Here is a 14869-nt window from a genome sequence, read left to right on the forward strand (position 1 = left end):
TCTTTTGCTGGGAGATGAAAACATTCTAAAACTAGATCATGGTGATGGTTGTACAATCCCGTGAACTCACTAAAAAACACTGAGTTGTACCTTTTAAATGAATAAATCATATAGTATGCGAATTAGATCTCAATAAAGCTGTTTTCAAAGCACACACACACACACGCACGCGCACACACACACACACATAAACAACATCACTCCCTATTTCCTTCCCCAGGTTTACAAATGCCTGGGTGAGGTTTTGAGAATCTTCTATTCTTCACTGTATGTTCTACTTGGTCTTCCCCTTCAGGGCTCAACATGCCCCCCACTGCTGAGCAGAGGTGCCCACCTCATTGTTGTTACAGGAAAAAAATAATCATGACAGCAACAACCACAGCTTCCTGAACAGCTGCCGTGTGTCGGGAAGCTGTTTCATCTCCTCCCAAACTCCCTTTGAGTTTCCACAAGGGAACTCATATTACCCCTCACATACTCAGGGAGGCCAGGGATGGTGGCACAGCCAGGCAGTGGCAGAGTTATGGTCCAGCCAGGCTGTGCAGGGGTGCACTGACCCTGACAGCTGGTCAGGCAGATCCCTGCCCAGCTCCACATTCAGTGATGCCTCATTGGCGGACTGGATTGAAATCAGCCATGGAGAAAGCATTTACATCAGGGAAATTGGCCGGTGCTACAGAGCCAGCTTCCTCCCCTCTGCCCCAGAGAGCTGGTTGTTAAGCTGTTACCAGCACACCACAGGGACCATCTGCCTCCTGAGCTCTCCATGGCTTCTCCAGCCCCACCAGGCATCACTGTCCTTCAGGACAGGGCTCCCCTTTGTCGGTTTCTGCTGTACCTTTGCTGATGCCACCGGGGCTGCCAACCAAAACCCTCAGCAGCCTCCCGCGCTGGGCTCCTCTAGCAGGCCGGGGAAGCTGCCAGCGCCAAGAACAAGCACGTGTTTCGTGCTTTAGGACGGCTTCAGGCGCGTTTGCGGAGGCCGGATGAAGCCACAAAGCCAAGTTGGCATCTCCCCCGAGCTCCCACATCCTCGAGGGCCAGAGTCCCACAGGCTTTAGAAGCTGTGGGTGCGGAGGTGCCAGACGGAGCCCCGAGCACTCCCTGGGAGGCAGCGACAAGGGACTCGGGCACTGAGCCGGCCCTGCTGCTGCGGCGCTTCATGACACACACGCCTCCTCCTTCCTGCAGGAGCCCCCTCTTCCGACGCCTTGAACAGATGTTCCACCACTAGAGCAAGCTTTCGGGGAGATGGTGGAAATGAACGGTTTATTCCCTTCAGAACTGGCTACAGAACCCAGTGCGGGACCCAGTGGGGACCTTGCTCAAAGACCATGAAGAGTCTCAAGGCACTGACAGCACAGCATGAACCCAAGCGGGGCCCTTCAAGGCAACGGACGACCGCAGGGTCAGACCCTACCCAAGCCGGACTTGCGACTGGCCTAGAGGCCCCAGGAAGGAACCCCCTCGTGGATGCCTCCTAAGCTGTCCCTGGGCTCTGAGACTCTGGGCTCAGGCCTTGGCTCTGCTCCTATGTCAGATTCGCAGTGAGGTGTCACGCGTCTCCCTGGGGTGGCACGGGGACAACAGCTGTGCTCCACCTGTGAGCACTTTACAACACGACTGGGCAGGCCAGGGCAGACGCTGGCCTCGCTCCTTCCCGGACAGCTGCGGGGGAGAACGCCCCTGTGTGGTGCAGGCTGCTGCGGGGGAGAAGACCCCCAAGACTCCTCACCTCCACCCCCTGCACGTGGGAGCCAGGTCCCCAGGCAGGGGCGACGGGCTGCCAGCTGCCCCGTGTGAGCAGCCTCGCCTGCCCACTTTGGAGCCAGAGGAACAGCAAGCAGGCTCCAGGCCACGGCCCTCCCGGCTCTGGTTCCCTCTGCTTGTCCCTTGGAGGGGCCCATACGGGGCCTGATGCCCAGGAGCCTGCGGCCCCCTTGTCCTGGATCTACTCTGCGCTGGCTTCCAGGAGGGAGGACCCCCTTCCCCCACCACGTCTCATGCCAGCCTCGGCGCAGCTCCGGAGAGCGGGAGGCGGAGGCTCAGAGCGGTGCAGCCCCACCGGGCCCCAGCCCGTTGCCTCCGCCCCCACCTCACCCCATCCCCAGCAGCACCACTTCCGCTCAGGCCTGGCTGCTGGCAAAATCTCGGCACAGAGGGAGGAGGGGGAGAGGAAAACGCATGATTCCTCCTCAAAATGGAGTCAGCCGAAAAAAGCGTGAATGCAGAGCCCGAAGAGACTCCTGGGGGAGGGGAGCCCCTGCAGGGCCAGCCGAGGGCCGGCGCAATGGCTTATCTGAGGGACAGGCAGAAGGACGGACCCCCACGGTGGACCCCAGCTACGCACCGTGTCGTGGTGGGGCGGGAAGGCGAAGGTGTACTCGTCTGCCAGCAGCCTGCGGTAGGCGTAGTCCTCGTGCGCGCGGCTCCCGTAAGCCCCGTAGTAGTCGTACTCGAGGACCTGGGAAGAAAAGACGTGGTCCTCAGCCTGCCTCTTTGGCCCCTCCCCGCTTCCCTCCCCAGAGCGGGGTCCCGCTGAGGCTGTGATGGGGTCAGGCCTGGCCCTGCCCTCGGAGAGCCCTGCACTGAGTGCCCGTGTGTTGTGGACGCGGGCAGGGGGCCCCCATGAGGTCCAGGCAAAACAGAGGCACAAAGGAGGCCGCAGGGTTGCCTGGTGGGTCTGAGAGCCCAGCCAGGGCCCAGGAGGCTGGAGGAGGAGCTGGATGCACCCAAGGTGGGGAACGACAGGGAGAGGTGGTTACCCAGGACCTCAGCCAGGGCTGCTCCCTGGAGCCACGGCAATCCCAGGCCCAGCTCCTGCTCTGGGCCAGCCCCTGCGGGAAGCGTCTTACACTCCTACCAGGTGTGCCCCTTTCTACAGATGAGGAAAGTGAGGCGCAGAGAAGTTATATCTCGCCCAAGGGCACAGACAAGTCCTGGACCTGGCAGTGGCACGAAGCCAGGCAGGTGCGTGGGCTCCAGAGTCCAGCTTTTCTGCCACTGCCTTGGCCTCCCTGGGATCTGCCCCCATCAGACACCCCACAGCCCCACAGCCCCATGCCCCTCCCTGGCCGCTGCTCCTGCAGACAACCCCCCACCCCGCCACCTGCCCTCCTAACTGCCGACACGGCACAGCTGTGAATGCAGGTGTGGGCAATTCTTAACCTCCCAGGGCTGCCAGCCCCGTCCGCCCAAGCCTCACCTCCTCTTCACACACAAGTGGGAGCCAGTGTGAGGTTGTAAGGGAGTCAGGCTTTGCTGGCATCTCTGCATGGAGTACCCCCCTCCCCAGCAGGGACATCCCACCCACTGCAGCCCTGCCAAGGTGTCCTGGACACCCAGGCTGGCTCCCGGGTGGGGGTGCAAAATCCGCCCATCTTGGGACCTGGGGTGTGTTCCTGACTCTCCTCTCCTCGCCCAGGGACAGGGGAGAGGGGCTTCCAGGGCCAGATCTGACTGGAACACAGTGGGTTGCACTTCAAGACAGGGTCTGCCCAGACCCCTCCTCCCCGCAGGGTTCATGAGGACGGCATGTCCCTAGGGGCCAGCAGGAGAAGAGACGATGACCTGCAAGGCTCTGACCCCAGAGCCGTGGCCCCGTTAGCCAGCTCTGGCTCTCATCTCCCCTCCCGATGCCCTGGAGCTCTGGAGCCTGGCCTGGGCTGTGGGTTGCCATGGGGATGGAAGGTGGGTGCACCAGAGGGGACTGGTGAGACGCAGCCCCGGGAAGGGGATTTCGATTTCTGTAAATCTGGATCAAATGCTACCCCTCAGCTGGCCTTAAGGCCTCGCGTCCCCTGCTCCCGAGGGTCTGGGTCCCAGGTTTCACAGCAGGACTGCCTTTGTTCCTCTCACTGAGGACCCAGGTCCCTGGGAGTCCCCAGAGGACGCCCAGAGTCCAGGCCACTGTGAAACCTCCACTGGGAAACTGAGCACCCTGGGTGCATCAACCTGCCCAGTGCCTGCCCTCCTACGGACATAAACCAACAGTCGGAGTGGCCAAAAATAGATGCACAGAATTAGGAGACGCTCCATTCCTCCTGCAACCTGGGGGAGTCTTCTTGCTGTCTCCCCACCGCAGGACACCCCTTCTGCTCTGCCTACAGCCCTTCCCACTTAGGCCATGGAAGGCCTGGCCACAGCGGACGGGTAGTGGGGAGGACGAGGAGTGGGAATTGCGTGAACGGCACAAAGAATGCACTGAGCCTTGGGGGCAGGTCGGCAGGGCTCGGCTTCCCGTGTGCAGAATAACTGATCACGACAGTGGAACCACCTGGGGAGGCGGGGCACACGGAGGGGCAAGGACGGGGCACGTGGAGGGGCAAGGGGGTTGTCAGGGCAGGGCCTCCCAGCAGCACAGCCCAGCAGGCACTACTCACCGGAGCTGGGCCTCGGGGATGAAACCATCCCGGTCGCTCCCAGCCATGCCGCTCCTGGAACACGCAGCCTTGTCCAAGGAGTTCCTGAGCAGGAGTGGGGAACAGGCATCTGTCACGCATGGCCTGATACCCCTGCGCAGGGCAGAGAGCCACATCCGCCACTTTACACCCAAGGGTGCGGAGAGCAAGGAGGCCCTGACTCTTGGAACCAGGCCTCCAGCCCAGTGTTTGCAGCTACCCTCACTGCCTCACCCTGAGAACCCCTATGTGTAGAATTACCACCTGCCCCATCTGCCCTCACCCTGAGAACCCCCATCTATAGAATTACCACCTGCCCCATCTGCCCTCACCCTGAGAACCCCCATCTATAGAATTACCACCTGCCCCATCTGCCCTCACCCTGAGAACCCCCATCTATAGAATTAATTACCACCTGCCCCATCTGCCCTCACCCTGAGAACCCCCATCTATAGAATTAATTACCACCTGCCCCATCTGCCCTCACCCTGAGAACCCCCATCTATAGAATTACCACCTGCCCTGATCTGCTCTTGCCCCAGGAATCCCATCTATAGACTTACCGCCTGCCCCATCTGCCCTCACCCTGAGAACCCCATCTGTAGAATTATCACCTTCCCCTATCTGCCCTCATCCTGAGAACCCCCAGCTACAGAATAGCACCTGCCCCATCTGCCCTGGCCCCGATAACCATCATCTGTAGAATTACCACCTGCCCTGATCTGCCTTGGCCCTGAGAACCCCCATCTGTAGAATTACCATCTGCTATGGACGGAATCACATCCCCACATAAATTCGTATGTCAAAGCCCTGACCCTGACGTGACTCTATTTGGAGATGGGATCTTTAGGTTAAATGAGGTCATCAGGGTGGGTCCTAATCCCATACGGCTGGAGCCCTTATAGGAGGAGGAAGCGACGCCAGGGCCCTCTCCCCGCTGCATGAGGACAGTGAGAAGGTGGCCGACTACAAGCCAGGAGAGCCCTCTCCAGGAACCCATCGTCTGACACCTTGATCTTGGACCTCCCAGTCTCCAGAAATGTGGGGAAAAAAAAGTTCTGCTGAAACCTCTCCACTTGTGGCCTTTTGCTGTGGCTGCCCTAGCAGAAAGATGCACCATACGACCCAGCAATTCCACTCCCAAGTATGCACAAGAGAACTGAGAGCGGGGTTGTAAACAAATTCCGTTCACGCATGTTCACTGAGCTCTATGCGCAACCACTAACCAGGGGAGAGAACCCCCGTGGCCCTCAGCTGATGAGTGGATCAACAAAGCATGGTCTGCATACACCATGGAATATTATTCAGCCATAAAAAGCAACGAAATTTGGACACATTTTATCACAGGATGAACCTTGAAAACATGCTACAGGAATGAAGCCAGACACAAAAGGTCATGTATTGGATGATTCCAGCATATGAAGTGACCTGAACAGGCAAATCCATAGAGACCGAAACAGCTTAGTGGTTGCCAAGGCTGGTGGGAGGAGATGAGGAAGGGCTGTTTACTGGGGATGGTGTTTCCCTGTGGGGTGATGAGAATGTTCTGGAACTGGGTAATGGGAACGGTTGCACAGCACTGCAAAGGCACTTAATGCCACTGAATTGTACACTTTAGAGCAGTTAAAATAGCTCATTTTAAGATCTGCCTACTTAATCACAACAACGAATGTAATGAACACACTAGAGAAACAGAGTGGGAGGTTTCTTTAAAAATAAATTTGGTTTGGGAAAAAAAAGAAAACCCACTCTCGGGTTTGGAAGGGCCCTACCCAGGGGCCACCCCCTCTGACTGGAACGAGGCCCCGAGCGCAGGGCTGAGAGGGCCTCGGGGGCAGCATCTGGTTCCAGATGGCCCGCTGAGGGTCTGTCCCAACAGCACTTGCCCTCCCCTCCACCCCCGAGGCCCCAAGAAGGAGGAGGCACGCCCAAGGCCACAGCATTCATCAATGACATGGACATGTCCTCCCTGCCTGCCTGGGATTCTGAGGGGATGGCAATCGAGGGCACAAAATCCACCCACCTCTCAGTGAACCATGGGGACATCCCATGGGCCACCTTTCTAAGGAGGCAAACTGTTCATCTCAAGAGCCCATTAAAAGAGGGCAGGCTCCCCTCTTTATAAAAGAAAGAAAGAGAACAAACTTAAGCGGCTGTCAAGTGTCGCAAGAAGGCTGCTAACTAGGAAGGGAAGTCGAGGCGTGGGTGAACCAAGATTTCCCTGGGGGGCAGGGGCGTGCTTCAGCCCTTGCCAAGTTTCTTCGGTAGAGCTGCTCAGTTCTGAGGAATGCGTCTGAGCTGACTGCGAGAGGAGCAAACCCTGCATTCACCCAGGGAGGCTTCTGAACTGTCAGGACTGGCAAGGGCGTGATTACTGATTACAGGCCCGGGGGCATGCTAGGGAGACCCCAGGGCCATGTGTGGCCTGAGATCATAGCTGGTCCACCAAGCCAGGCCAAAGGGCCAGGGCAGTCTGGGAGCCAGCCCTGTGACCACTCTGGGCCTCTCCCCAGGAGGTACAGCTAATACCAGGATCTCTCTTGGGGCCAGACACTGGAATCTCAGGTGAGGGAGGCCCCTTCTTCAGTTTAAACGCCACCTGCTCCCTGAGCCTCCCTCTTGCCTCCCCGCCCATCCATCTGTTCAACAAACATCCCCCGAGCACCTCAATGCTCAGGAACCAGAGTGCCTAGGACATAGCCCCTGTTCCCCAGAAAGCAAAGCGTCCAGCACGAGATGGCCAGGGAGAGGGGGAAGGAATGGAGACGGGGCTGGGAGCGCAGAGAAGGAGCTCCTTTGTCTTTGGGGGACCAGGGGAGGGCACAGGGGCAGACCTGAGAAAGGGGCACCTGACAGTGGGTTTCACTGAATGGGTGAGTCGAAGCTCACCAGGGCAGAAGAGCCTCCGCAGCAGGCTCTACAGGCAGGAGCCCCTCTCCAATGTACGCCGTGTTCTGGCTGCTCTCCCAATACGTGGCTGCATACACCCACCAAGACCCCGCCCCCAGGACCCCTGCCCTGTTGGCGCTGCTGCCAGCAGTTGGCAGGGGGCGGTTCCTGGGTGTGCGTTCCTGCTCCTCCACTACAACAGAAGCCCCCGGGTGGGAGGGAGCCATTTCCACTTTATTCCCTAATGTTCTTGGCCCTGAGCACTGTGCCCAACACATGGGGGTGCCGGGTTACTACCTGGGGAATGACAGACACCTTGTCACCGCACCTGACCTGCGGTTGGGGTACACCTTGCATTTCTGTCACTCCGCTGCCCTGAGGACGTCCCAGACCCTCGCTGCCAGTCCCCAGCAGGAGCTGTAGGGGCGTTACCTCGTGCAGCGGGTCTCTCCTCATGTTGCGCCCGGCCAGCGGCTCATCGTGGGGGAAGACGACGGAGTAGTTCTTGGCGTAGGACTCATGGCTTCGCTCTCGGATCCAGCGGGGGTGGTCCGTGAGCGAGTGATGGAAGCGCCTGCCGCAGACAGGGGGACGGGTCACTGCTTTGGGGATGGCCCGTCAGGGAAGGGCTAGCCTAGGACCCAGGGTAAGCCTGGACCCCGGTCCCCTGCACCAGAGTCCCCTTTGTGGCTCAGCATTGAGCGGGCCCCTGACTCTCCATTCGCCCCACCCTTGGGTGAACTCAGCTTTCTCCCCCAGAGCCACCCCACCCCAGTGGCCCTCAGTGAGTGGGCGTTGTGGACAGAGGGCCCAGCTGAGGCTCTCATCCCCCACAGGGACATGGGACTCCAGCCTCGCTCTCCACACATTGCTGTCTGCTGCCTAGGTTCCAGTGCTGGGGAGTCCTGGGGTGCCCCTACATGACTGGGGAGGGAGCGGCCCCTGGGAGGGATGGGCTCAGATCCCCAGAATGCTCTGGGGAGGGTCCATGTGAAGGGTCTTTGAAGTTTAGCCTGGTGATGCGTCAGAACACCAGTGTCCCCCTCCTCATCAAGGAACCCCCCTTTCCACCCGCCAGCAGGGGAGTGGGGGCAAGGGTGGCCGCCTGTCCCATCAGGCCTCCCCAAGTCTGTGATCCCAAAGCTGGGCCTCGTCTGTGGGTCAGACCAGGGACCCAAGAGGTACAGAGTCTCTGGGGGAAAATCCCAGCTGTGTCTGGGGAGCGGCTGCCCAATCCAGCGCCTGGGACCGGAGATGATGTGGCTGCAATAGTTTTGGGTTTGTTCCTTCGAGGCTGGGGACACAGTGTGCGGCCACGGCAGCCCCCGGTGGTGTCCAGCACGAACCCGGCGGGCCCCATGCTATTTCTCATGGAGCTACGGAGCTCTGTGGCTGCACCTGCGGCCTAGGCCTCTGCTGCCCCTGAGTGGGCAGAGCAATCAGTGCCCCGCGGCTTGTTCCCTGGTCTCCTCAGACCAGCCACCCGTCCCGAATCCGACAGTGCGGAACTGCTGGCTGGAGTGAGACCCGGGCCCAGCTGCATCAGGGCCCTGCAGCCGCCTCCCACGCACAAACCTCCCTGTCAGCCCCCGGCTTTCCCAGCACCCCGCCTCCCCCTCACGCTCCACCTGCTAGAACCTCACTCATCACTCAAGGCTGCCTCAGCAGCCACATCAGAGGCGTTTCTATCCTCAGTGACACCTGTCAGGGCTGATTCTTAGTCTGCACGTAATTCTAGCAAGCAGAATTTTCTGATCTGGATGGGTGGGGAGTAGAGGTGCAGACGTGAGGATTATTATTAATGATATTATCATTAACAGCTGCTGTCGCTTATGGCACCCAGCTCCAGTGCAGGCTCAGAGCTGAGTGCTGCTGTGGGAGGAAATCCCTCTCTCTTTGTCCCCAGAGCTGCCTTCTGCATGGGACCCAAGATTAACTCTTTCACGCAGGGGGAAACTGAGGCTCGGAAGGGTCTCACAAGTGTTCACAGTCACACGGCAAGGCCACGGCAAAGGCAGCCCACACCTGCGCCAGGCTATGCTGACCAGGAGCTGAAGGAGGGGGTGATGGAGCCAGTGAAGGTCTGGGAGGATTCTTGGGGGCAGCAGTGAGGTGCACGTCGGGTGGCAGGAGCAGCGAGTGACCTACAGAGTCCCAGCTGCCAATTCGGCCTGTGAGCAAGTGGGCAGAGGGACCAGGCCGGCCCAGACCACCCTTTTCACTTAAATAAAGAGCAACTCTTCCCTGGCTCACCTGGTCCCCAAGGAATTTCCCTGAAAAAACAGCCCAGCCCACACTCTGGCTCTGCCTCTGTTGGGTACTGGGCCAAGCGTCCACACGCATGAGCCTCGAGTGCGCTCCAAGAGGGTGGTACATTGTTCCCATTTTCCAGGTGGCGAAACTGAGGCTCAGAGAACAGGAGCGACTGACCAAGGGCCATGCAGCTGACAGATATGGGGCTGGAGAGACAGCCTCTTATCTGATTTCAAAAGGAACTCACGCGCAGGGCGGCTGCCATGGCCTGGAAGCCCCCTGGTGCCCGGTCAGCCCTGGGACCCTCACGCGCAGCCCGGAGCCCAGACAGGCCCCGCACCCAGGGACGGCTCAGGCTGCCTGGTCTCCCGGGACGCCCCCTCGCTGTGCGTGTCTCCCATGTGTATGATGAAGGACGACCCACGCGTGTTCTGGCTCTGGCCTGAGGGGAGCAACCAGGAGTCTCTGAGCAGGGGAGAGCTCCGTTCTGGCGCCGACGCTCTCTGTTCACTTTCTTTTCTGGGTCTTTCAACGACTTTCTCAGGCACCTCCTTCCTCTCCTCGCTCTGTCTCTCTCCTTCAGGGTCTGTGTCTTGTCTCAGTCCCCGGGCGCAGGCCCGAGGTGGCAGAACATTGCATTAGTGCTACAGCCCTTGGGGGCCGGTGGCTGGTCCTGCTGGTGGCGGCCGTCCACTCTGGCACACTGAAGGGGTTTGGAAGCCCCACGTCAGTGACGGCTGGGCTGAGGACGGCATTAGCCTGTGTGCCCTGGGTGCCACCAGCCAGGCTGCTTGGCAGGGGTCTGGGACCAACAGGGTGGGTGCTCCTCCTGCTGCTGTACTCCAGGGTGGGTGCTCCTCCTCCTGCTGTACTCCAGCTCTCAGGGGCTCCCCACCTGTGCCCTTGGCTCCCAGCCCCAGAGCAGCCCATGGCACACTCCCGCCAAAGTCCCAGTGATGGAAGGAAGACAGCTGACCGAGGGAGGCCCAGGCCTGCCCCCAACTTGCCAGGGGTCGCCTCAGGGCCTCTGCCAGCCCATGAGCAAACATCCTGTCTGCTGAGTGCGGGACTAGGCCCCAGGTCAGGAGCTGGGCAGGCTGGGCAGCTCCATTTTGCAGCCGAGGATACAGAGGCACAGAGAGGCCACACAGAACCCTGGTTGGTGGGTTCCAGAGCTGGAATCCCCAAGGGAGGCCAGGGCATGAAGACTGTCCCTCCTGGGGAGGGAGCTGGGTCCCTACCTGGCTCTGGTTCAAAAGCCGGGTGACTTCAGGCAAGTCACCTCCATTTTGCTGTTTGCAGCAGGAGGGGCCTGAATTGGCCCTTCCTTGAAGTCCTTTACAGTTTTATCATTTCCGGGACATTCCTCGCTTGGGAGAGTGCAGGGGCGCAGGCCCAGACGGGCTCTGAGTCAGCCAGAGGAGGCTTCACTGTGTCGGGTGCCATGGAGGGGTGGCAGCTGGGGGGCCTCAGTGTCACTGTCTCCGTGGGGTCAGACATTCTTCTCCACAGTGGGCGTAATGTCCTCATCAGGCCAGGAAAGGACTAGGTCAGCAGAGGCGAGGGGCGCACCGAGCTGAGCCAGGCCTTCTCCCTCCGGAGCCCACCCACCTACTGCCTCCCCAGGGAGGCTGTCCACCAGCAGCAGCAGCCGGGAGCAGAGTGGGCTGGAGAGACCCGGAGGCCGGGCTCCCTCCAAGCCGTCCTGCCTCGACAGCCACCCCACAACGCACGGGGAGTGGCCCGGGCCACAGGCCCTGCTGTGTGGGTCGGAGAGGCCACCGCCATGAGGACGAGACACAGGAGGAGCCTCCCCCCTTGCCGGGGAGCGCCTGCACCACTGTCCTGTGCTCTGCAAGAGATGGCCCTGACTGGCAGAAGGCCATCGGGATAGGCTGCCGTCACCGGCTCTGGCCACCAGCACCCCAGTCCATGCCTCGGCTGGGGATGACTTAGCGTTTCCATGTGCAGACCCCATGCTGGGTGCCTCACCAGTACAAATGCCCTCCCTGCTCCCAGAACCTCCACAGCCCCTCCCCATCACCCTGCATTAGAGACGAGGAAGTGGCTTGCACTGGGTCTCATTCCTGGCCGCTTTGTCAGTGTACGATTGAACGGGACAGCCGGGGCTGCCTGGCTGCAAGCCGCGGCATACACACTCAGCACAGTTTTCCCAGCTCAGCCCCGCTCCCTCCTGCCCCCAGGCCTCAGTCTCCCCATCTGTGAGGTGGGGTGATGCCATCCCACTGATGACTCCAGAGCTGTCCAGGGGCTCAGGCAGGACCCTGGGACAAGAGATCTTCAAAGCTGTAAAGGGGCGTGGACCTGCCCCCCAGCCACCCCCTCAGCACTGCCCACCTTCTGCTGGTGGCCTTCCTCCCTCACTGCTGCCCCTTCCAGGAAGCCACCTGGATTTCAGGCAAGGCTCCTTTCTCAGTAGCCCTCGCTGTTTACCCCACGCCACCTGTCCTGAGTGGCGGGCCCTGCCCTTAGGTCCCAATGGGCACTTACCTGATGTCATAGCCATGCATGTCCTTCTCCGGGCGCCCATGGATGATCCAGTGGGCCAGCTCCTGCCCACAGCCACCACCCAGCATCATTCCTGGCAGGAAGAGAAGCGCAGGGCTGCGGTCTGCCCCCCAGGGTCCCCCACCCATGTCCAAACATGTGCCCCCATCTCCACGGACAGCACAGACACTCCAAGCTCTGCTCTCACACCTGGGGTGCTGCACGCCTCCTGATTGGACTGCTGCTGGACTGGACCCTGGCACAGGTGCACTCTCTGGGAAGCAGAAGGGGCTGGACTCCCCAGCCTCTCCTGTCCCCACCACTGTCGGGGGCCACGGTGCTCCTGCGCCCGCCTCCCCCAGAGCTCTGGGAATGACAGGACCTCCCTCTTGGGGGCCAGGAGGGCTGCTGCCCGGACTCACCTGCGCTGTTGAAGCCACAGCCCAGGAAGAACCCTCGGAGCTCAGGTGCCTCCCCCATCAGGGGCTTGTGGTCGGGCGTGAAGGATTCTGAAAGAAGGAGAGAGAGGCCTGGAGTCCCTTTTGCAGTGCACATACTCTTGGGGTGAGGTCTTCCAAGAGAGCAGTGATCAGGCAGGGTCTGCAGGGGCCCCTCCACCCAACCCCCTCCCTCCTCTAGGCCCTGCTCAGCGCCACTTCCTCATGGGGGCCTCCCCGCTGGCTCCTGCCCGTGCTCTCTGAGCCCCTCCACGTGTGCTGCCAGAACCAGCTGACGGCGACCTGGCTGGGTTCTGCCTGGTGGGGTCCCGCTGTCTTGTGGCCGTTGTCCTGCCGACAAGGAGCCCTTCTCTGACCCTGGAGACCATGCTGCGGCTCCCCCAGTGCACCAGCGTCCTGCTGTGTCCCTGCCAGAGACTTGTCACTCCTGCCCACTGGACCTTGAGAGGGCAGAGACCAGTTTTCTCACTCCACTTCCCCCCGCCCAGCACAGGGTCAGAGCCCAGCAAGTGCAGGTGCTTGATAAATGTCTGTTGAGCCAACAAAGGCTCCCAACTTCTGCGGGGGAGGAGACCAATGTCCCACTCCGGCGGCCACAGCTGAGCCTCAGACAGAGGCCAGGACACGGTGGGAGGGGAACCCTGGCTCTCTGTGGCCACAGTCCTGGATTCAAAACCTGCTTCACCCCTTCCTAGCTGTGTGGCATTGGGCGAGTCACTTCGCCTCTCTGAGCAAGGCTTAGCGTCCTAGTCTATAAAACTGGGATAGCAGAACCTCCACAGAGCTGTGCGCTCGCCAGCCTACAGACGTTCATGTCCTGGGCTTGGCCCTGGGAGGCAGCGCTGAGCAGGACATGTCCCAGCCCTCGAGGAGCTGACGGAGGGAGGGAGCAAATACTTAAATAAGCAAAAAACAGACGGTCTCGTAAAGAAAATACGATGAACTGAGGGCCACGCGTCACTGAGGTGCCAGCTGCTACTGTTGGCACCCCAGCACCACACCATGTTAGACTCTAGATGAGGAAGCGGCCGGCCCTGGTCTGAGGGACCCCAGGGCACTTCGTTCGTGAACGATGATACGGGGATGGCTCCAAGTCTGGGGGGTCATCCTCTGCATGCAGATCAGGAGCAAGTGCCGTCCCGCTCCCTGGAGAGCAATCAGGGCCCCCACGCTAGGAGCTGAGGGGGCAGAGAGCCACGGGGAGCCTGGGCTAAGAGCCTGGCCAGGAGAGGCAGGGCTCCTTGAGGGGCAGAAGGTGGCAGGGCCACTGCAGGGGAGGGTGGAGGAGGCAGGCTAGAGGGGCAGGGCCCTACGTGGAGGGCCTGGGTTATCAGGGCAGAGGGCAGAGGCCGGAGCAGCCATCTGGGTGAGAGACAAGGAAGGCTCCAGAGAAGGTGACGATGGGGCAGAAAGAGTGAGCTGAGGCCGGGTGCAGTGGCTCACGCCTGTAATCCCAGTACTTTGGGAGGCCAAGGCAGGCGGATGTCTGGAGCCCAGGAGCTCAGGACCAGCCTGAGCAACATAGCGAGACGGCATCTCTACAAAAAAATCAAAAAATTAGCCGGATGTGGTGGAGCGAGCCTGTAGTTCCAGCTACTCAGGAGGCGGAGAAGGGAGGATGGCTTGAGCCCAGGAGGTAGAGGCTGCAGGGAGCCAAAATCGCACCACTGCTCTGCAGCCTGGGCAACACAGCAAGACCTTTAAAAAAGGGGGGATTGGGGAGGTAACCTGGGCTGGGTTTGGGGATGGCCCAGGGAGCACCTTGGGAGGGCTGGAACTATTTCTAGGCCCAGGGAGGGCAGGAAAGAAGCTCTGAACAACCTCACAGGGAATCTGCGGGGAGCGCTATCAAGAGCTAGCGGAGGGGCAGCTGCAGGGAACAAGGGTCTCTTGGATGTTTCACAAATGACTCATGCGGGTTGAGTAACCCGAGGACACATGGGACCTCCAGGCAACATGGCCAGGGGCCAGGCCTGCGGCTCCCACCCTGACCTTGGTGAGCTCCACCATCCTGGAATGAGAGCTCTGCCTGCCCTCCCAGGCGCTCCCTAAGTCACGGGGGCCTGGGACTTCCCTGCTCTTTCCTGGAGGCCAAAGGCCATTGGCCGTGCCTGGCAAGGAGAAATGCTGATTCCCCACCAGTCTCCCATCCAGCCGACAGACCAGATCCAAGATGTCCTTGCCTGCACATCTTCCCCAAAATAGGGCTTCGTGGGGAGTACCGGCTCCCCAGGCTAATTAAAACGAGAGGAAGAGAAAGATAGAGAGAGACAGAGAGACGCCTGGGGTTATCTGTGCCCCTGGGATTCTTCCGGGCCTGTGTTTCTCGCTGCCAGACCCACGCAAGCTGCGGGGTGGGGG

General features: G+C 60.5%; 1 protein-coding gene across 12 annotated transcripts in view, besides 1 other annotated feature; it reads right to left on the minus strand.

The window, feature by feature from the left end:
- Positions 1-14869, minus strand: part of SARDH (sarcosine dehydrogenase) — an 80538-nt gene that overhangs the window by 41148 nt on the left and 24521 nt on the right. For all 12 annotated transcript variants that reach the window (XR_001746217.2, XR_001746216.2, XR_001746213.2 and 9 more), the window contains 5 exons: positions 12473-12559; positions 12054-12144; positions 7722-7863; positions 4383-4466; positions 2351-2464 (listed from right to left, as the gene is read on the minus strand). Coding sequence is in view for 8 of the 12 variants with exons in the window: in XM_017014367.2 (XP_016869856.1) it covers positions 2351-2464; positions 4383-4466; positions 7722-7863; positions 12054-12144; positions 12473-12559 (518 nt within the window). In the remaining 4 variants the exon portion in view is untranslated. The remainder of the gene's footprint in view (positions 1-2350; positions 2465-4382; positions 4467-7721; positions 7864-12053; positions 12145-12472; positions 12560-14869) is intronic.
- Positions 10818-11521: an enhancer, noted in NCBI's record as "H3K4me1 hESC enhancer chr9:136576505-136577208 (GRCh37/hg19 assembly coordinates)". NCBI's record gives its function as "activates a minimal SCP1, AML or CMV promoter by ChIP-STARR-seq in primed H9 embryonic stem cells {active_cell/tissue: H9 hESC(primed)}" and the evidence as "EXISTENCE:reporter gene assay evidence [ECO:0000049][PMID:30033119]".

Source organism: Homo sapiens, chromosome 9 (genome assembly GCF_000001405.40).
Source record: "Homo sapiens chromosome 9, GRCh38.p14 Primary Assembly".
NCBI classification, from domain to species: domain Eukaryota; kingdom Metazoa; phylum Chordata; class Mammalia; order Primates; family Hominidae; genus Homo; species Homo sapiens.